Source organism: Homo sapiens, chromosome 8, assembly GCF_000001405.40.
Source record: "Homo sapiens chromosome 8, GRCh38.p14 Primary Assembly".
NCBI lineage: Eukaryota > Metazoa > Chordata > Mammalia > Primates > Hominidae > Homo > Homo sapiens.
The window spans coordinates 17571335-17591967 of NC_000008.11; the positions used below are offsets into that span (position 1 = coordinate 17571335).

The 20633-nt window shown below is 45.2% G+C and overlaps 1 protein-coding gene across 2 annotated transcripts in view, besides 2 other annotated features; it reads left to right on the top strand.

Annotated features, from left to right (window-relative positions):
* Positions 5099–20633, top strand: part of PDGFRL (platelet derived growth factor receptor like) — a 66712-nt gene continuing 51177 nt past the window's right edge. The window contains 3 exon segments of one of the 2 annotated variants that reach the window (NM_006207.2): positions 5099–5426; positions 5802–5973; positions 18134–18431. In NM_006207.2, coding sequence (NP_006198.1) covers positions 5919–5973; positions 18134–18431 — 353 coding nt within the window. In that variant the 5' untranslated portion in view covers positions 5099–5426; positions 5802–5918. 2 annotated transcript variants of the gene reach the window in all.
* Positions 6088–6147: a silencer, noted in NCBI's record as "silent region_18961". NCBI's record gives its function as "represses an Ori minimal core promoter by ATAC-STARR-seq in GM12878 lymphoblastoid cells {active_cell/tissue: GM12878}" and the evidence as "EXISTENCE:reporter gene assay evidence [ECO:0000049][PMID:35858748]".
* Positions 6238–6287: a silencer, noted in NCBI's record as "silent region_18962". NCBI's record gives its function as "represses an Ori minimal core promoter by ATAC-STARR-seq in GM12878 lymphoblastoid cells {active_cell/tissue: GM12878}" and the evidence as "EXISTENCE:reporter gene assay evidence [ECO:0000049][PMID:35858748]".

The following is a 20633-nucleotide window of genomic DNA, read 5'->3' on the forward strand; positions in this document are numbered from 1 at the left end:
TTGTCTCTGGGCTGTAGGTCCAGCCAGAAGCTCCCGGAGAGAGGAATATGATCTTCTTAGTGTTTAAAGAAGGACTCAGATAGGCTTCCTTTTGGGGCTAAGGGCTCAAAGCCCATGGATTGCTAAGAGATTGTGCTGAGAAGTCCTCATCTGTGTGGAAAGAGTAAATTATTTCATCCCGTAAACTATCTCAAAAAATTCTCAAAGACATACAAAAATAACTCTCACTATGACATTATCTCAGTTTGTCTTTTAAAGTATGTCAAAGCGGCTGGGCCTGGTGGTTCATGCCTGTAACCCCAGCACTTTGGGAAGCCAAGGTGGGAGGATTGCTTGAGGCCAGAAGTTCAAGACCAGCCTGGTCAACATAGCACAGACTCCAGTCTCTACAATTTTTTTTTTTTTAATTAGCTGAGTGCCTGTATTCCCAGCTACTCGGGGCTAAGGTGGGAGGATCACTTGAGTCCAGGAGGTTGAGGCTTCAGTGATCCATGATGGTACCACTGCACTGTAGTCTGGGTGACAGAACGAGACTCTGTCTCTAAAAGTAAATGAATGAATGAACACAGATCAAAGTATGAGTTAAACTAGAAAGAGACTCAGCTCAATACTCACTTACTTATATAAACCTTCCTAGTAACAGATTGATAGCCACCTCTTAAATAGTTGTAGATATCAGAGTTTCAGATGTCATAAACTCTGGGTAAAGAGTTCTTATTACTCTATTAAGACTGCAGCAGTCAAGAGGAAGAGAAACCCACAGGATAGAGACTGCACTACCCAGGAGTACTATATAGCCCAGGGTGGGCCCCAATCTCCAAGCCAGTTTCTGAGCTCTGAGTCCCTTAGCCCACAAATACTACAACATTGTCAAAGTTCAAGATTCTGGGCATCCCCAGTGGCTGAGTCTCCAAGTCACCGGAATCTTTCCCTACCTGCTCACTGATGTCATGGAAGGACCAACAATTTCACTGCTCTGGTAGAAATCAGGTTGTCACGCCATTGTTCTTAAAACAGAACCATTGACTTTAATTGGTGCACAAGTGTAAATGACTGATAATAGATGCTTTTCAAAAACAGCATTTAGAGCAAATAAGCAAGAGAAGGCAAATAGGCAGAGACAGTTGAAAGAGGAGGGAGGAGACTAGAAAGAGAAAGAGCAAAGAAAAAAGAGGCCAAAGCTCTCAAGTCACAATTTTCCTATTCTACATTTTGGCTTAGAGTAGTCCCTCTTTCCCTTGCCACTTAGAGGCTCTTGCAACTAATGAATAGGTGATGCATCTTTACAACATGCTACATCCTGGAGCTAGGAAGGTCTTGTGCTTCATTGGTTTTAAGTAGACTAAGTTTCTGGGATCCCTACCTTACCCTAAGATGTCCCTTGACGAGTGGCTCTGGGAGTGTCAAAAATGTCTGGCATTTCTATCAGAATGAAGTCTTCAGGGAGTCCCATATTTAAAACCACTAAATTTTATTCCTGCTAAAACCTCGAAGCATTGATTTTTGTTGCAGGAAGTCAGGGACCCCGAACAGAGGGACTAGCTGGAGCCATGGCAGAGAAACATACATTGTGAAGATTTCATGGACATTTATCAGTTCCCAAATAATACTTTTATAATTTCTTATGCCTGTCTTTACTTTAATCTCTTAATCCTGTTATCTTCGTAAGCTGAGGATGTACATCACCTCAGGACCACTGTGATAATTGTGTTAACCGCACAAATTGATTGTACAATGTGCGTTTGAACAATATGAAATCAGTGCACCTTGAAAAAGAACAGAATAACAGTGATTTTTAGGGAACAAGGGAAGTTACAATCATAAGGTCTGACTGCCTGTGGGGTCGGGCAAAAAGAGCCATACTTTTCATCTTGCAGAGAGCCTATAAACGGACACGCAAGTAGGAGAGATATCACTAAAATCTTTTCCTAGCAAGAAATATTAATATTAATGCCCTGGGAAAGGAATGCGTTCCTGGGGGGAGGTCTATAAATGGTCGCTCTGGGAATGTCTGTCTTGTGCAGTTGAGATAAGCACTGAGATACACCCTGGTCTCCTGCAGTACCCTCAGGCTTACTAGGGTGGGGAAAAAAGTCCGCCCTGGTACATTTGCGGTCAGACCAGTTCTCTGCTCTCGAACCGTTTTCTGTTGTTTAAGATGTTTATCAAGACAATACATGCACCGCTGAACATAGACCCTTTTCAGTGGTTCTGCTTTTGCCCTTTGCCTTGTGATCTTTGTTGGACCCTTATCAGTAGTTCTGCTTTTGACCTTTGTCCTGTTCCCTCAGAAGCACGTGATCTTTGTTCTGCTTTTTGCCCTTTGAAGCGTGTCATCTTTGTACCTACTCTCTGTTTTTACACCCCCTCCCCTTTTGAAACCCTTAATAAAAAACTTGCTGGTTTGAGGCTCAGGTGGGCATCACGGTCCTACCAATGTATGATGTCACTCCTGGCGGCCCAGCTGTAAAATTCCTCTCTTTGTACTCTTTCTCTTTATTTCTCAGCCGGCCGACACTTAAGGAAAATAAAAAGAACCTACGTTGAAATATTGGGGGCGGATTCCCCTGATAGATTTTTGTGAAAAAATCATCTTGGTTGTATGTCTGTAGTTAACGAAGACTAGTTAGAGAAGTTACGTGTCCTTATCTTGGGGATGGAGAAGGGATGCCCAAAATATTGGCTGATTTTTTCTTACCTAACAAATTCCTAATGGTATTCACCACTTCAAAGGGGCAAATAAAAAGCACGGAAGGCAATGGAGTAGGGAGATTTCATGGGTAAGCATAGAAAGCTACCGTTAATTAAAATAGATAATGAAAATGGCCAGGCACGGTGGCTGACACCTGTAATCCCAGCACTTGGGGAGGCTGAGGCAGGAGGATCACTTGAGGTCAGGAGTTTGAGACCAGCCTGGCCAACACAGCGAAAACCCATCTCTACTAAAAATACAAAAATTAGTCAGACATGGTGGCGCACACCTGTAGTCCCAGCTACTCAGGAGGCTGAGGCAGGAGAATTGCTTGAGCCGGAGAGGTGGAGGTTGCAGTGAGCTGTGATCATGCCAGTGTACTCCAGCCTAAGCAACAGAGTGAGACTTATCTCAAAGAAAAGAGAAGAAAGAAAAGTGGGTGTTACAGGTAATGTGATCGTTTATCTAAAAACCCAAGAGATCAACTGAAAACTATTTAAGCTACTAAGAAGGTCCATTAAGGTGACCAGATACAAGCTAAACATACAAAAAAAAAAAATCAGGCCTTGGGAAAGCAGGCTTCAAGTTGTATTTGATTTAGAGCTGCAAGATAATGTTTATTTTAATTGGCTAACATTATAGTAATTGTTGGAGAAGGAATGGAAAAGATCAACACGACATTCTAATAATAAAATTCTTTCTCACCCTAGAGACAAAGCACGTGGATTTTTATAGTGAAATAAGACCTGTGAAAAATACAGCTTTGGCAGTTTTTGTTTTCAAATTTAAAATCATCTTGAGATTGTCTCATTCAAGGATAATAAGCCTTGTGATGAAATAGCTACGTGTCTTGGGAAGCCCTTATACTTCTTATGAATTCTGTTCCCATCTTAATACAGACCCCTGTATTAATTTGCTGGGGCTACCATAGCAAAGAACCACAGAGTGCGTGGTTTAAAGAACAGAAATGTATTCTCTTATAGTTCTGAATGGCAGAAATCTGAGAGCAAGGTGGCAGAAGAATGGGTATTCTCTGAGGCCTCTCTTCTTTGCTTTTATTTATTTATTTATTATTTATTTATTTTGAGACAGTCTCTCTCTGTCGCCCAGGCTGGAGTGCAGTGGTGCCATCTCAGCTCACTGCAACCTCGCTTCCCAGGCTCAAATGACTCTCTCGCCTCAGCCCCCCAAGAAGAGCCTCTAAGCGGCAAGAGAAAGAGGGACGACTCTCGGCTAAATGTAGCTGAGCCAGGGCAGTGAAGCTTGACAATAATGGCACAAGAGAGGTGGACCTGGCACATGCATAGTCAGCATGGAGGGGATACTGCGACCGAGAGGAGGAATCTAGACCCAACCCCAGGCTCCAACATGGAGTGAGAGTTAAGCAGTCAATTCATGGGGTCAGAATGAAAAGAAATCTCACGGTGGGGCAATTTAGGCAGATTTACTCTCTCCTGTGTGCATGCTCCAAGTCCTTTGCTCAGAATTCTCCCCAGAACCTGACACACCACATTGCAGTGGTCTAAATGCTTGTTCACTCCTTAAAAGTAGCCATGAGAGATGATGTCTCAACCTTCATAGCCGTAATGTTAATCACATAGCAAACTCCTGTTGAAATAATCACCTAGTTCCCTTTCTTAATAAACAAGAGATGCTAAAACCCAGAAGGTTAAGTGAATTCTGAGAGGCATGGAGAGTTTGTGCCAGTGTCAGCATCTGAACTCTGGTCTTTATTCCCAGCCAACTGCTCTCTGCATCGCAAGGCAAGCGAGTGGCAAAGCTCCGGCTAGAGCTGGCAACAGAATATAGAATTCTTGGTTCCTCCTGCAGAAGTGACTGAGAAGCATTAGTTTGTTATAAATGGCAGCACTTCTTTCGTTGGGTGTTGAGGGACAAGTCCCTTTCCTGTTATTTAGAATTGAGCTCCCTTTAATAGCAGTGCCTGGTGCTGAAGATTACAATGAGATGGGCTGCTTCTCACCGGGGGAACACACACAGGCATCTCCCCCGCTAGCAAACTGCTTTGATCATGAGAGTCTGCAAGCTCAGAAACGCAGGATGGCTCTCTGCAGAGGGACTTGTGAAAGCCCGTATCTTCTGCCCCACTGTTACCTGATAGAGTTGTCCAGGTTCTTGGCCTGTTGAACAAAAAATTGAACGAAATGCACGGAGTAACGAAAGAAAGAAGCAAGGAAAAACAAAGCAACAGAAGGGAGGAAGGAAAACGTAGATTTATAGAAGACAATTCACAGAGGGCGCTGCAGCAAGCCACAAGAGCCTGACGCTCCCCAGGGATTTTATAAAGCGAAAAGAACTTGGCAACACCCTTGGGTTCCCTTTAGAGGCCTCCAACTGGTTACACCTTACGAAGGACTGGCCTGCGACCAGTCCGAGGCTGAAGTGGAAACTTCTGCCTTGTTATCAGAGGAGCGAGGATGTGGCCTGTGTGCCGCCTAATCATGCCTAGAACTGTCTGCACCTGCTGATCTTTTGCTTCTGCGAACTGGCTGCACCTGCTGTTCTCCTGCTCATACCCTAGCCCGTGCTTACCCTAATTCCCTGTTCTCCTGCCTCACCACCAGAGGCCCGGGTTGTCTGCACAGTCTCATTTTCCACGTTATTCCTGTAATGAACCCGTCCTCCCACCCCCACCAGCAGTTACAGGGCTGGGTGCGGAGACCAACTCTGGCCAGACACAGAGGAGCAGCAAGAACCCGGGGCAACGGTCCTGTGAGTGAGTGCATGTGGGGGAGAGAAATGGAATGAACAGAAATAATTTAGGAAGCACTTTTTACAGAGCACTCAGGTTCTGCCTGAGGAGGTGGGGCGGGCGCTGGTAACATTTGGACAATCGTGGTTAAAAGTGACCCCATCAGCACCCGCTGATCCTTCTTGAACTTGATAACCTTGGTGAAAACGCCAAGCGTTGGAGAAATTCAAGGAATGGCTGTTGTAATGTACATTTCACGCTTAGCCTTTCCTCCCCGCGCTGGGAAGAAGTGCTGCGCACCGCGGCTCCGCCAGGGGGCAGGAGAAGTCACATTACACAGAGAACTAAAAAAAAAAAAAATTCCCCAACTTTTTCCCCCAAACCTTGTTCCTCCTGAAGAAACCGAATCCTCCCGCTTCGGCGTCCCAGGAGCCCGCCCCTCGCCCGCCGCCTCCCCTGCGTCCCCGCCCCGCGCAGCCGCCGCGCTCCTGCGCTCCGAGGTCCGAGGTTCCCGAGATGAAGGTCTGGCTGCTGCTTGGTCTTCTGCTGGTGCACGAAGCGCTGGAGGATGGTGAGTGACTCTGGGCGCGGGGCCACCTAGCTTGTGCCCTGACTTTAGCCGGGACCCGAAGCCCCCGCCGCCCTCCTGCCAGCTCTTGGTCTAACGTTCGGCCCTCGGTGGCTCAGCCCCCGCGCCACTGCCTGCCCGGTGCACCTGCCCCCTCCTGGTGGGGTCTCCTTTCCTCCCACTCTTTGCCTGCCCGGAGAGCCCTCTAGGGGTGGTGGCAGCTACCCCGACCCTTAGGAGCCCACCAGGACCTCTCCAAGTCCCCATCTCCGGGCGAACCAAGCATCCCCAGCCAGCGCCTGGTCCAGCCCCCAGTGTCAACGTGTCGGTCTGGGAGGTGGGGCGGGAGCCTCGGATCGCTTCCACCTCCCAGCGGCGTGGCTGGGACCTCTGCTGCTGAGAGCGAGTGCCACCTAAGCTCGGCAATCGCTGATTCGGTTGCAGAGTTCCAGGTGACCTCCCCCTCCCCTCGCAGTTCTGGGCGTGTTTTCGTCTACCACCTTTTGCTTGAATCCTGCAAGATCTGCCTAGATCTTCGAACAAAAATGTCAGTGTATGAAACTTCAAAACGAATCAAAAGCCCACGGCTTATTATATTTATCTAATTGGATGGGAAATGGTGAAGAAAATGCATTTTTTTGGTACAGCTTATGGGACCATGACCGCTGCGCGTTTTTGAATGTGTACCTGTCCTGGGTCCACCCTGTCGTGTACACCCGTGACCACAGGGTCTGGTGTTATTTTTCTGTGTGTCTGGGTGTGTGTATTACTGTGGTGTGTATTATATATTATTGTTAGCATTTAAATGTTTTGTTTGCTCTATTCACTCCATGGGTGTTATTTGTACAGTACATGTTTCATCTGGGTGCCTCCTGGTGTCCTCAACCCTCTCTTGAAATTCCTGGGCTACAACACAATTTTTGCTTAGATTTAGTGGAAAAGTAGCTTTTGCTGTTATGCAACTTCATGCTGGAGCCAGCTCGACCTGGCTCACATTTTTATCCACTCGTTCATCCTGACCAGTTCCTTTCTTTCCTAGGAAACTACATTTGCCAAAAAAATACCGCATTGTAGTTTGCAAAATCCAAGATAGTCGTGGTACTTGAAGTTGAGCATGAGGGTCCTTCAGCCTAGAGCTTTGCTTAATAAAACGTAGGCAGAGCTTCTACTGGGAGAGTAACACTTAACTCTGCCCAGAGAGAAGTTGCCATGAGTTCAGTTTGTAAAATGCAATATTAAAATGCTCCTGGCAGGCCCTTGTGTGCAACCGCTGAAAAGGCAGAAATGTAATTTGTAGTATCATTTTTTGAATAGGGCAGGAGATGGCCAGGCAAAATAATTTCAAATCAGCCATTCCTTTGTTTATACCCAACTTGCCAGTCTTAGAGGCTCAGAAATTGACTTCCATTCTGCCTCCTGGATCTCACCCAGCCCATGTGAGTTTATTACAAACATCTGACTAAATTTACCCTTTCTTTAAGTGTAATCCATACAAACAATAAGCATTTATGAGACAATTGGAGAAAGTGGAATACAGACTGAATGTAAGAAATAGTTCATAAATTTTAGGTGATAATAGCACGAAGATTTTGTTTATAAAAGTACACACATCTGGCCGGGCACAGTGGCTCATGCCTGTAATCCCAGCACTTTGGGAGGCCAAGGCAGGTGGATCACAAGGTCAGGAGTTCAAGACCAGCCTGGCCAAGATGGTGAAACCCCGTCTCTACTAAAAATATAAAAATTAGCCGGGCGTGGTGGTGGGCACGTGTAATCCCAGCTACTTGGGAGGGTGAGGCAGAGAACTGCTTGAACCTGGGAGGCAGAGGTTGCAGTGAGCCGAGATCGCACCACTGCACTCCAGCTGGGCGACAAAGTGAGACTCCATCTCAAGAAAATAAAGATAAAAATAAAAGCACACATATCTATAATGTATGGACTATTTATGGATACAATAGTGAACACACAGTGCTTCATTAAGTTATGTAACCGTTTGGCTAAACCTATTAAGAATGGTTTTTGGTTTTGAGTTGTGTTGTGAGTTGTGGCCAGGAGCTACTAAGGAGAGTGGATTACACAGGAGGCCCTTCCAGTGCTGGTCTCAGATTGGCAGGTTGGGAATATCCTGCCTTCAAGGCCATCCCAAAGCACAAATTACAGACACAAGGTCCATGACTCAACTTGTTTCACTGCCTTTTAGTTTTTCTGATCACATCTAAAAGACAGTCTTTATTATTATTTTATTATTATTGTTATTATTATTATTATTATTATTATTATTGAGATGGAGTCTTGCTATGTCACCCAGGTGGAGTGCAGTGGCACAATCTTAGCTCACTGCGACTTCCACTTGTGCTAGCCACCACAACTAGCCAAAGACAGCCTTCTAAGAGGAAAAGACTTCCCTGCAAGTGTGTATGGGGGTGAACATCTGGCCTGTGACCCAATGAAGCTGGCTGCTCCCAATGACAAAATGCTTTAAATTTTTGGAAGTAATGTTCTTTCTCCTCATGAAGATGGGGAGCTGGAAAGGCACATAATACTTCATGGCATGAAACTGAGGGATGAAAACAGGTAATAAATAATCCAAGATTCCACGTTGAGATGTCAATCATAGCACCTGATTTTCAGCATTTATATGGAATACATGCCACCGAGTTTATTAATAGGGTGCTTCTATTTTCACATTGAAAAGTATAAAATCACAAATATTTCCTGACTTTTGATTACCTACATATTTTTATTGAATGTCAGGAGCAAACACTGAAGTGTTAATATTGATTTGTGCAACGAGTTCTGTTGAATAACATGAGATCCTTGATCCATGCTAATCTGGTCTTCAGTAACCTGGGTTTATTTTGCATCTGGTGAAAGGGGTTTCTTTCTTGGAGGACTACAGACATTCATTATTGTCTGAGAGCAATATAGCCAGATCTCTAAGAAGGTAAGGACAGAGACACAATGACGAGGATTCTCTAACCAAGAGCCTTTGACACTTTCGTGTCTTCGTTTATTTTTGAGAAAAAAAAAGAGTAAAAATTAGTACAGAAATATTTTAATGAAAAAAAGAATTCTAAAGTTCCTTATTGTTTATGAATGCACATAATGAATGCTTTGAAGCATTTAGGATCTTGGCTGGCATGTTTGACATACAAAACCATTTCTGATCCTTAAAACACAGAAAGAGAAAAGTTTGAGGGCAAGAGAGAGAGATCTGGTGGTCAGAGGACTGATGGTTTTCAAACCTAGACAAGGTTTTAAAACCCTTTCTTTGTGGTGCTCAATGAAGGGAGAGGAAAGATAAAGAAGTAAAGATACAATTTAAGGAAGTGGTAAGTGGCATCGAGAATCATGAATCAGGGTCTATTAGGTTCCTAGGGCTGCCATAACAAAGTACCACGGAATGGGAGGCTTTAAAACCGCAGAAGTTTGTTTGCTCACAGTCCAGAGGCTTGTAGTCCAAAGTCAGTGTCAGCAGCACCACACAGCTTCTAAGATGCGGGTAGAATCCTTCCCTGCCTCCACTAGCTTCTGGTTGTGGTCAGCAACCCCTTGGCATTTTTTTTAGCTTGTGGCCACATCACTCCAATCTCTGCCTCTGTTGCCATGTGACCATCTTCTCCCCGTGTCTGTCTTTACATGGCATTTTCATACGTGTGTGTGTGTGTGTCTCCTCATAAGAACATCAGTCCTATTGGAGGAGAGCCTACCCTAATGACCTCATGCTAACTTGATTACATTTGCAAAGACTCCATTCCTCAATGAGGTTACATTCACAGATACCTGGGAGTTAGGACTTCAGCATATCTTTTTAGGGGACACAATTCAACCAGTAAGACAGGGTGAGACATGGAGAGGACTGAGGCGGGGTGTGAGGATGCCGTTTGAATGGATAGCCATAAGCCTGCCTGAAACAAGGAAGCAAACCCCGGAGGTAGCTGACAGCAAAGCTGTGCACTCCAGGGGCACCACAAAGGCAATAGCTTCAAGATGGGCTTGTACCGGTTGCCAGTGTGGCTGTGGCTGTGATGCGTGGGACGGGAGCTGGCCAAGCCTTGTAGGGCATGGGAAGATTTAGGGCTGGCTTCTAGATGAGATGAAAGTCACTGGAGGCTTCTGAACGAAGAAGTACCCATAATTTGATTTATGTTTTCAAAGGTAGGTGCTATGGTTTGCCCCCACCACATCTTATGTTGAATTTTGATCCCCCATGTGGTGGTGGTGGTGGGAGGTAGGGCCTCATGGGAGGTGTTTGGGCCTTGGGGGTAGATCCTTCATGAAGAGATTAATGCCTTCCCTTGGGGATGTGTGGATTCTGTATTATTTCCAGCAAGAACTGCTTGTTAAAGAGAGTCTGGTCCCTCCTCCTCCCACCGCACCATGTGATCTCTGCACTGCTAGTTATCGTTGCCCTCTGCCCTGAGTGGAAGCAGTCTGAGGCCTTCATTGGAAGCAGATGTTGGTTCCATGCTTCTTGTACAGCCTGCAGAACGATGAGCCAAATAAACCTCTTTTCTTTATAAACAACCCAGCCCTACGTATTCCTCTATAGCAATGCGAAATGAACTAACACAGAAAATTGGTACCAAGGAGTGGGATATTGCTATAAAGATACCTGAAAGTGTGGAAGCAGCTTTGGAACTGGGTACTGGGCAGAGAATCGGAAGAGTTTGGAGGGCTCAGAAGAAAACAGCAAGAGGAGGGAAAGTTTGGAATTTCTTAGAGATTGGTTATATAGTTGTGACTAAACTGTTGATAGAAATATAGACAGTAAAGTTCATGCTGACAAGGTCTGAAATGGAAACAGATAACTTATTGGGAGCTGGAGAAAAGTCACCCTTGTTAGGCCTTAGCAAAGAACTTGGCTGCATTGTGTCCATGCCCTAGGGATTTTGGAAGGCCACACTTAAGAGTGATGTCCTAGGGTATCCTAAAGAAGAAATTTTTAATCAGCAAAGTGCTCAAGTAGTGGTGGGTGTGGCTGGGTTTAAAAGCTTAGGATCAGCCGGGCAGGGTGGCTCACGCCTGTAATCCCAGCACTTTGGGAGGCAGGCGGATCATGAGGTCAGGAGATCGAGACCAGCCTGGGCAACATGGTGAAACCCTGTCTCTATTACAATACAAGAAGTTAGCCTGATGTCGTGGTGCGCACCTGTAGTCCCAGCTACTTGGGAGGCTGAGGCAGGGGAGTCGCTTGAACTCGGGAAGAGGAGATTGCAGTGAGCTGAGATCAGGCCACTGTACTGCAGCCTGGTGACAGAGTGAGACTCTGTCTCAAAAAAAAAAAAAAAAAAAACTTAGGCTCAAGATCAATTACAGCAGCAAAGGAATGACCTAAAGGTAGAATTTATTATGAAAAGGGAAGCAGAGAGTAAAAGTTTGGAAAATCTGAAGCCTGGCCATGTGGCAGAGAATGAAAGAGCATTTTGGGAAAAGAATCCAAGGGCACAGTTGAGAGACTGCTTGAATCATGCTAGTAGCTAAGAAAATAAGAGAAAGGCCTTATAGCCATTTTGGAAATCTTTGAGGAGCCCCTCCCATCCCAGGCCCAGAGACTCAGGAGAATAGAATGGTTTTGGGGGGCAGGCCCTGCTGCTCTTCTGCCGTGCACCACCTCGGGATGCTACTGCCCCTATCTCAGGTGCACCAGCTCTAGCCTTCACTTAAAAGGTCCCAGGTGTGGTTCCAGATGGGCGAATAAGAGCAGAAGAGGCCAATAAGCAGAACAGAGAGGTTGCTCCAGAGGGCACAAGTTATAAATAAACCTTGGAGGCTTCCACATGTTGTCAAGTCTGCATATTCCCAGAATGCAAGAGTGATGGAGGCTTAGCTTCCACCTAGATTTCAGAGGATGTATCAGAAAGCCTGAGTGTGCGAGCAGAAGCCTGCTACAGGGGCAGAACTAACACAGAGAGTCCCTACCAGGGCACTGCCTAGGGGAGCCATGGGAACAGGGCTCATGTGGGGATCCCAGAATTAGAGAGCCACCAGCAGTATGCACCCTCACCTTGGAAAACAAACAGACATTCAACTCCAACCTGTCAGATCAGCCATGTGGGCTTCACCCAGCCAAGTTAGAGGGGTGGGGAGGGCGAAGGCTTGTTTTTGATTTTCCAGGCTCACAGCTGTAAGGAACTTGCCTCAAGCTCAGATGAGACTTTGGACTTTTGAGTTGATGCTGGAACAAGTTAAGATTTCGGGGACTATTGGGAAAGGATGCTTGTAATTTGCAGTATTTGAAAGACATGAGTTTTGGGGGGCCAGAGGTGCAATGCTATGATTTGGATATTTGACCTCCTCCTAACCTCATGTTGAAATTTGATCACCAGTGTTGGTGGTGGGGCCTAATGGGAGGTGTTTGAGTCGTGGGGGTGGACCCCTCATGAATGGCTTGTTGCCCTCCTGGAGGTAATAGAACTAATAGCGTGAGTTCTTGCTCCACTAATTCATGTAAGAGCTGGTTAAAAGGAGGCTTGCACCTCCCCTCTCTCTCTCTCTTGCTTCTTCTCTCTCCATGTGATCTCTGCATATACCTATTCTCCTTCACCTGTGCCACCAGTGGAAGCAGCCTGAGGCCCTCACCAGATGCCCAGTCTTGAATCTTCTGGCCAGCAGAACTGTGAGCTGAGTAAACCTCTTTCCTGCATAAATGATTCAGCCTCAGCTATCCCTTTATAGCCACATAGACGGCCGAAGGAGTGATACAGTGGAAGCCAGGGGCTGCTTAGGAGATAGTATAAATGTCTGGATGGTAAGTGGCTTGGCCCAGGCTGGTATCAGTGGATGGAAGGAAAAGAGGCTGAGTTCAGGGTCTGTTTTCAAGATGAAGTCAAAAGAATTTGTTGCTGGATTGGATGTGGCTTAGGAGAGGAAAATTTAAAACAAGTGCGACTTGGAGGTTTTTGTCCTGAGCAATTGTCATTTGCTGATAAAGGGAGCATCAGGAAGGAGCATGTCTGAAGGGGCATTCAGAGGTCAGACATGCTAAATTTGAGATGCTAAATTTTGGAGATGCTAACTTTGACATGCCTACTAGTCTTTCAAGTGGCGATGCTGAATAAGCAACAGGATATTTAGATCTGGAGTGTAGAGGCGGGGTCAGGACAGGAGCTAGGGCAGCTTTCAGCATATAAATGCTGCAGGGGTCACGGGATTGTGTGAGGTCACTTAGAGAGTGAAGAGTAGTTAGAGAGGAGTGATCAGGCAGGTCAGGAAAATGAGGAAGAGCTGCCACAGACTGAAGAGTTGTCAGTGACACAGGAGGAAAACCAAGGCAGCACAGGGTCCTGCGAGCCATGTGAATCGAGTTTTTCAAGAAGAGCGTCATCAACTGTATTCTAACAGGTGTTGTGGAAAATACTTCAGATTGAGGCCTTTATCCTGGCATTGAAGGATCTAATTCTCAGAAACTGCTTTTTTTTTTTTTTTAAAGATACTTTAAACAGTGGTAGTGTTACCGGAAAGGGGTCCTGATCCAGACCGCAAGAAAAAGTTCTTGGATCTCGTGTAAGAAAGAATTCGGAGTGAGTCCATAGAAGTAAAGTGAAAGCAAATCTATTAAGAAAGTAAAGGAATAAAAGAATGGCTTCTTCATAGGCAGAGCAGCGGCATGGACTGCTCAGCTGCTTATACTTACGGTTACTTCTTGATTATATGCTAAACAAGGGGTGGATTATTCATGAGTTTTCCGGGAAAGGGACGGGAAATTCCTGGAACTGAGGGTTCCTCTCCTTTTTAGACCATATAGGATGACTTCCTGATGTTACCATGGCATTTGTAAACACTCATGGCGCTTGTGGGAGTGTCTTCTAGCATGCTAATGCATTATAATTAGCATATAATGATCAGTGAGGATGACTAGAGGTCACGTTCGTGGCCATCTTGGTTTTGGTGGGATTTGGCCAGATTCTTTACCACAACCTGTTTTATCAGCAAGGTGTCTGTGACCTGTATCTTGAGCCAACCTCCTGTCTCATCCTGTGACGAATGCCTTTACCTCCTGGGAATGCTGCCCAGTGGTTCTCAGCCTTATTTTACCCAGCCCCTATTCAAGATGGAGTCTCTCTGGTTCGAATCTCTGACAGTAGGTGGGTTTTTTGGAGTGGGGTTCTCGAAAGGAAGAGAGAAAGGAAGGGCTTGCTACATCTTGCTACATTTTCCTCTCCATAGTATCGCTTTCCCACCTTCTCAGCTTTGTTCTTGGAAAAGTGTGTGTGTTCCTGTGGGGTGTTTCATGAAAAATGGAAAAATGAGAGTGGCATCTCTCAGTGTATATAACTAATTGGGAAGCAACTGAGTGGCTCAGAAGAATGTATGGTGTGGTTAACTGAGGAGCTACTTTTAGGGATGGCCTTTCCCCTTTACTGCCCATCAGGGAGGAGAAAACCCAACAGCTCTAGCGCTTTGATATTAATGACTGTGCTTAACAAGAAATCTCATCCAGGCTGCAGTCAATGATTCTTCTAATGAATTTATTTTCTCCTCCAACACAGTTCTATTGAATTAGGCTAATAGGTCACTTTTGATGAATAAGATTTGATTGTGATTCTCAGTTGATGATGAATAATCATGGTCCTTTTTCCTGCTTCCTTCTTGCTTTGTAACATTTGTTTATTTATTTTGGATATAAGGGTTTTGGGGTTTTTGTCTGTTTTTTCTTTTTTTTGAGACAGAGTCTCACTCTGTTGCCCAGGCTGGAGTGCAGTGGTGCGATCTCAGCTCACTGCAACCTCCGTGTCCCAGGATCAAACGATTCTCATGCCTCAGCCTCCCAAGTAGCTGGGACTACAGGCGTGTGCCGCCATGCCTGGCTACTTTTTTGTATTTTTTGGAAGAGATGAGGTTTTACTATGTTGGCCAGGCTGGTCTTGAACTCCTGGCCTCAAGTGATCCACCTTCCTTGGCCTCTCAGAGTGCTGGGATTATAGGCATAAGCCGCTGCACCCAGCTGGAGATGAGGTTTTGACCAACATCTCCTCACCGAGGGGATCCAGTGTGTGCCTTGGAAAAGCACCTCCAGCTCTTCCAGGAAGAGGAGGCTGTCATCCCCAGCATCAGGTTCTGTTTGGCTTGGAACTCCATGTCACATCAAACAAAGAATCTCATGGTGCATGAGATTTGTGCAAATAAAGTGAAAAAGCAACAATATGCTAATCTCTAAGTGGATGGAGAGGCAATGGCATGAGCCAGAGAAAGCTCTAGACTTGGAGTCAGAGGGTCTGTTTTTTCACTACCTTCTTGATGACCTGGAGTGAACTACTTGGCATCTATACATTAAAGAGACTAATATCTGCTTTGTTTCCACCACAAGTTCATCATAGAGATCTCATGTGACAACCATAAAAAAACAAATAGCACTTAGCTAGCAATCACTTACTGTAGGTCAGATGCTAATTTCAGCAGTTTTGACATATTAACTCATTTAACTCCCACAGTAATTATTACAGTTATTATGAGGTAGTTATTACCATATCATTCTCAATTTATAGATGAGAAAACTGAAACAGAAGAGGGCAAGTAGCTTCCCAAGGTCACACAGCCAGTAAGTGGCAGGCCTGGACCTGAAGCTAGTAATGATATTTAATGGTTCTTGAATTTTGCCACCTATTTCTCTATAAATTATACGATGCAATAGTCTCAAAAATTCAATGGTAATGGACGTTCACTTATAGTATGAATTCTTGTATTTTTTAAGTCTTTGAAAAATAACCAATTGACATAGTTAGGCTGAAGAGTCATATTCTTTTAAACAGTTAGACATGGGATTTGGGAGTCACTCAATTCCAATACCGTCTGGGTATCTGTGGGGACACTAGGCTGGCTCCTTTAGCTTTGCATCATTGCCATCAAACCACAGGCCAATTCTGTGGTCAGGCAGCTGGACCAGCTATACAGTTAGATCAGCTGGTGGGGCTATTTGGTCAAAAGGTCAAATTATTTTGCATAGATAATAGCAAATATTTGGATGCATAATCTCCAAAATCAGATAATCTCATGTTCCTGAGTAACATAGATACACAAGATGTGATAGCTTAGAAGGATCAGACAAGTAGCTCTGTTTGTCTAAATTCCATAGGATTTACAGATGGTTATTGTCATTTCTGGTAGCTTGAATTCCTGTTACATGATACACAGAATACCAAATTAGACCTTAATCCAGAGGTTCATTAATTTCACAGGCATTAAAGTATTTATGGGGCACAGATTTCTTGGGCATGATAATGGTGGGCTTTTCTTTCTTTCTTTCTTTCTTTTTTTGAGAGAGAGTCTTGCTCTGTCACCCAGACTGCAGTGCAGTGGTACAATCATAGCTCATCATAAACTCGGACTTGTGGGCTCAAGTCTCGGTCTCAGTCTCAGTCTCCAGGCATTGGAGTGCAGTGGTGTGATCTCGGCTCACTGTAACCTCCGCCTCCCGGGTTCAAGCAGTTCTTGTGCCTCAGCCTCCCGAGTGGTAGCTGGGATTACAGGCATGCGCCACCATGCCTGGCTAATTTTGTATTTTTAGTAGAGATGGGGTTTCGCCATGTTGCCCAGGCTGGTCTCAAACTTCTGACCTCAACTGATCCACCTGCGTTGGCCTCCCAAAATGCTGGGATTACAGGCATGAGCCACCACACCTGGCCTACAGTCCCCTATTCATTCTTGTTGAGTGGACACAACTGTGTGGCTGCAAGGGGCTTAGCTGAGATTTTTAGAGTCCGGTGGCCCACCACAGGCAGAACAGTGGGGGCACTCTTCCCTGGATGCAGGCAATAAGGGTGCCTTACTTATAGAGAAGGCAAAAATGACAACAAAAGCAACTTAAAGTCAGTTAGCTTTTTATTATCACTATTTGCCAGCAACTCTCAACAATGTTGGTGATAAAATACTCCTTCCCCAGAGACATTTTGTTGGTGAAATTCTAAATCGTTGCTACAGTTACAGTTGAGTTTTGATAATTTATATGTAAGCTTCAGATTAGTATACACATAATATTTACTCTTTAATAATAAGCATTTTATTCTACCTAGACATCGCCAGCCCCTGACAAATGTAATGTCTGCTTTACCATTTGTTTTGAGAGAAAGTTCACTGTGGTTCAAAATCTTGGCTGGGCAGAGTGGCTCACACCTATAATTGCAGCACTTTGGGAGGCCTACGTGGGAGGGTTGCTTGAGGCCAGGAGTTTGAGACCAGCTTGGGCAACATAGCAAGGCCCCATCTTTAAAAAAAAAAAATTAGCTCAGCATGGTCTCACATATGTGTAGGCCTAGCTACTCAGGAGGCTGAGGCAGGAGGATCACTTGAGCCCAGGAGTTCAAGGCTACAGTGAGCTAGGATCATGCCATTGCATTCCAGCCTGGGTGACAGAGTGAGATTCCGTTTCTAACGTTAAACACAAAATATTTTGCGTGCACTTTCAGCACAGTTTGTGTCCCCAGTCTCTGTGGAGCTACAGATTTCTGTGTTTAAACAGTAGAATCAAAATGAATGGTGACAACATATAGACTGCAAAGTAAACAAACAGCCTTGAATGGCTTCAGTTCTGCTGTTTTGTGTGACTGCTTGGAGACTATGAGACGGTGTGAACTACAGGCAGTAATATTTTTGTTTTCTAAGGGCAAATTTTAGCTCATACATGAACTGTTTTGCTGAATTTGAATAATATCTTTGGAGCTGAAATATTTTTTAATGTTTTAAAATTAATCAAAAGATGATAATTACATGACTTTTACTGAAAACAATATTGACATATGAGGAGGGGAGGATTAAAAAGTTATCTTCTCTAGAGTTACCTAAAAGCTATGAGGGCTGGGCATGGTGGCTCACTCCTGTAATCCCAGCACTTTGGGAGGCCAAGGCAGGTGGATCACCTGAGGTCAGGACTTCGAGACCAGCCTGACCAACGTGCTGAGACCCTGTCTCCATGTCTCTACTAAAAATACAAAAATGAGTTGGGTGTGGCGGCGGGCACCTGTAATCTCAGCTACTCAGGGTGCTCAGGCAAGAGAATCACTTGAACCTGGGAGGTGGAGGTTGCAGTGAGCTGAGATTATGCCACTGCCCTCCAACCTGGGCAATAGAGTAAGAATCTGTCTCAAAAAAAAAAAAAAGTTATTGGCCTCAAATATTCCAAAAATGTCATTACTACAGCGCATTTCTCTCTCCTTACGTTTTGCAGTTACTGGCCAACACCTTCCCAAGAACAAGCGTCCAAAAGAACCAGGAGAGAATAGAATCAAACCTACCAACAAGAAGGTGAAGCCCAAAATTCCTAAAATGAAGGACAGGGACTCAGCCAATTCAGCACCAAAGACGCAGTCTATCATGATGCAAGTGCTGGATAAAGGTCGCTTCCAGAAACCCGCCGCTACCCTGAGTCTGCTGGCGGGGCAAACTGTAGAGCTTCGATGTAAAGGGAGTAGAATTGGGTGGAGCTACCCTGCGTATCTGGACACCTTTAAGGATTCTCGCCTCAGGTAAGCATTTTTTTTTAAAACTGTGTAGGGTTGAGGATTTGTAATAGTTAACAAAATTCCTTCTTAACTATTATTACACATTGTTTCTGACATGTTCCATTTTACCCTAATAGATCATAAAAATAGAAGCTCAAAGGGCAAAAGTCACAGATTTTATTTCTTTACCCAGTTAATAACAATTGCAGGCCGGGTGCGGTGGCTCATGCCTGTAATCCCAGCACTTTGGGAGGCCGAGGTGGGCGGATCACGAGGTCAGGAGATCGAGGCTATCCTGGCTAACCCGGTGAAATCCCGTCTCTATTAAAAATACAGAAAATTAGCTGGGCGTGGTGGCAGGTGCCTGTAGTCCCAGCTACTCAGGAGGCTGAGGCAGGAGAATGGTGCGAACCTGGGAGGTGGAGCTTGCATTGAGCCGAGATAGTGCCAGTGCACTCCATCCAGCCTGGGTGACAGAGAGCGAGACTCCATCTCAAAAAAAAAAAAAAAAAAAATTGCAAATCCTACCAACATTTGCTGAAAGAGTGAAATTTTACAGGAAACCATGTGACAAAACCATATGACAATTTTCTATGAAAATGTATGATGTGTGGAATTTTATGGGAAACCAAAATGTTATAGAAAACTATTATGCATAGAGATGGATGTTTAAAAATTCATATTGTGTGGCCAGGTGCAGTGGCTCATGCCTGTAATCCCAGCCCTTTGGGAGGCCAAAGCAGGCAGATCACTTGAGGCCAGGAGTTGGAGATTAGCCTGGCCAACATGGTGAAACCCCGTCTCTACAAGAAATATAAATTAGCCAGATGTGGTAGCATGCACCTGCAATTCCAGTTACTCAGGCAGAGCTGAGGCAGAAGAGTCGCTTGAACCCGGGATGCAGAGGTTACAGTGAGCCGAGTTCGTACCACCGCACTCCAGCCTGGGTGACAGAGTGAAACTCCGTCTCAAAAAAATAAAAAAAAATCATACCGTGAAAGTTAATGGACTCAATGTTTTATGTTGTTTTTTTAAGTAATCATAATGAAAACTGAAATGACCTAACAGGAGATTTCTGTGAGCAACTTGACCAGATATCAACTTCAACTACTTTTCAACTGCTTCTCATTATTATTATTATTATTAATTTTTTTTTTTTGAGACGGAGTCTCGCTCTGTCCCACAGGTTGGAGTGCAGTGGTGCCATCTTGGCTCACTACAAGCTCCGCCTCCCGGGTTCACACCATTCTCCTGCCTCAGCCTCCCAAGTAGCTGGGACTACAGGTGCCTGCCACCACGCCTGGCTAATTTTTTGCTTTTTTAGTAGAGACAGAGTTTCACTATGTTAGCCAGGATGGTCTCAATCTCCTGACCTCATGATCCGCCTGCCTCGGCCTCCCAAAGTGCTGGGATTACAGGCGTGAGCCACCGCGCCTGGCTGCTTCTGATTATTTTGATGTTCATAAGTCTATGACTGTTACAGTCAGAGGCCTCAACTGGTAAGAAGGCCCATGATTTCTCATGTTTGAATGAGTACCTTCAGGAGGCTAGGCTTCTAGACCAGGAAGAGTGGTTACCATGGTGACAGCGGCAAGTGTGAGAAGCAAGAAAGAAACACGTGCTTCCTGGGGTGCTGGGAGGAACCTGAGCATGGGCTCTGCGTCAGGGGGTGTGTACGGGGTTACAGTCCTGTGCACCTTGGTGAAGTCTCCTAAACTCTGCCAGTTCTCAGTTTCCTTATGTGTAGAATGAAGGGTAGGGGATGACATGATTTCTAAGATTCTTTCTGGCCCTATTTCCGTATATGATGGAGAAATAGGATGGACTTACAATGGAGAAATACCAGATGTTGTCTGAGATGACAAGAATGGGAGAAAGAAAGCCTGCAGGCAGGCTGGGCACGGTGGCTCACGCCTGTAATCCCAGCACTTTGGGAGGCCAAGGCGGGCGGATCGTCATGAGGTCAAGAGATTGATACCATCCTAGCCAACATTGTGAAACCCCATCTCTACTAACAATATAAAAATTAGCTGGGCGTGGTGCATGTCTCTAGTCCCAGCTACTCGGAAGGCTGAGGCAGGAGGGGATTGCTTGAACCTGGGAGGCGGAGGTTGCAGTGAGCCGAGATCAGGCCACTGTGCTCCAGCCTAGCAACATCGCGATACTGTGTCTCAAAAAAGAAACAAAGAAAGAAAGGCTGCAGAGGGCAGGTATCTCAGACTCTGC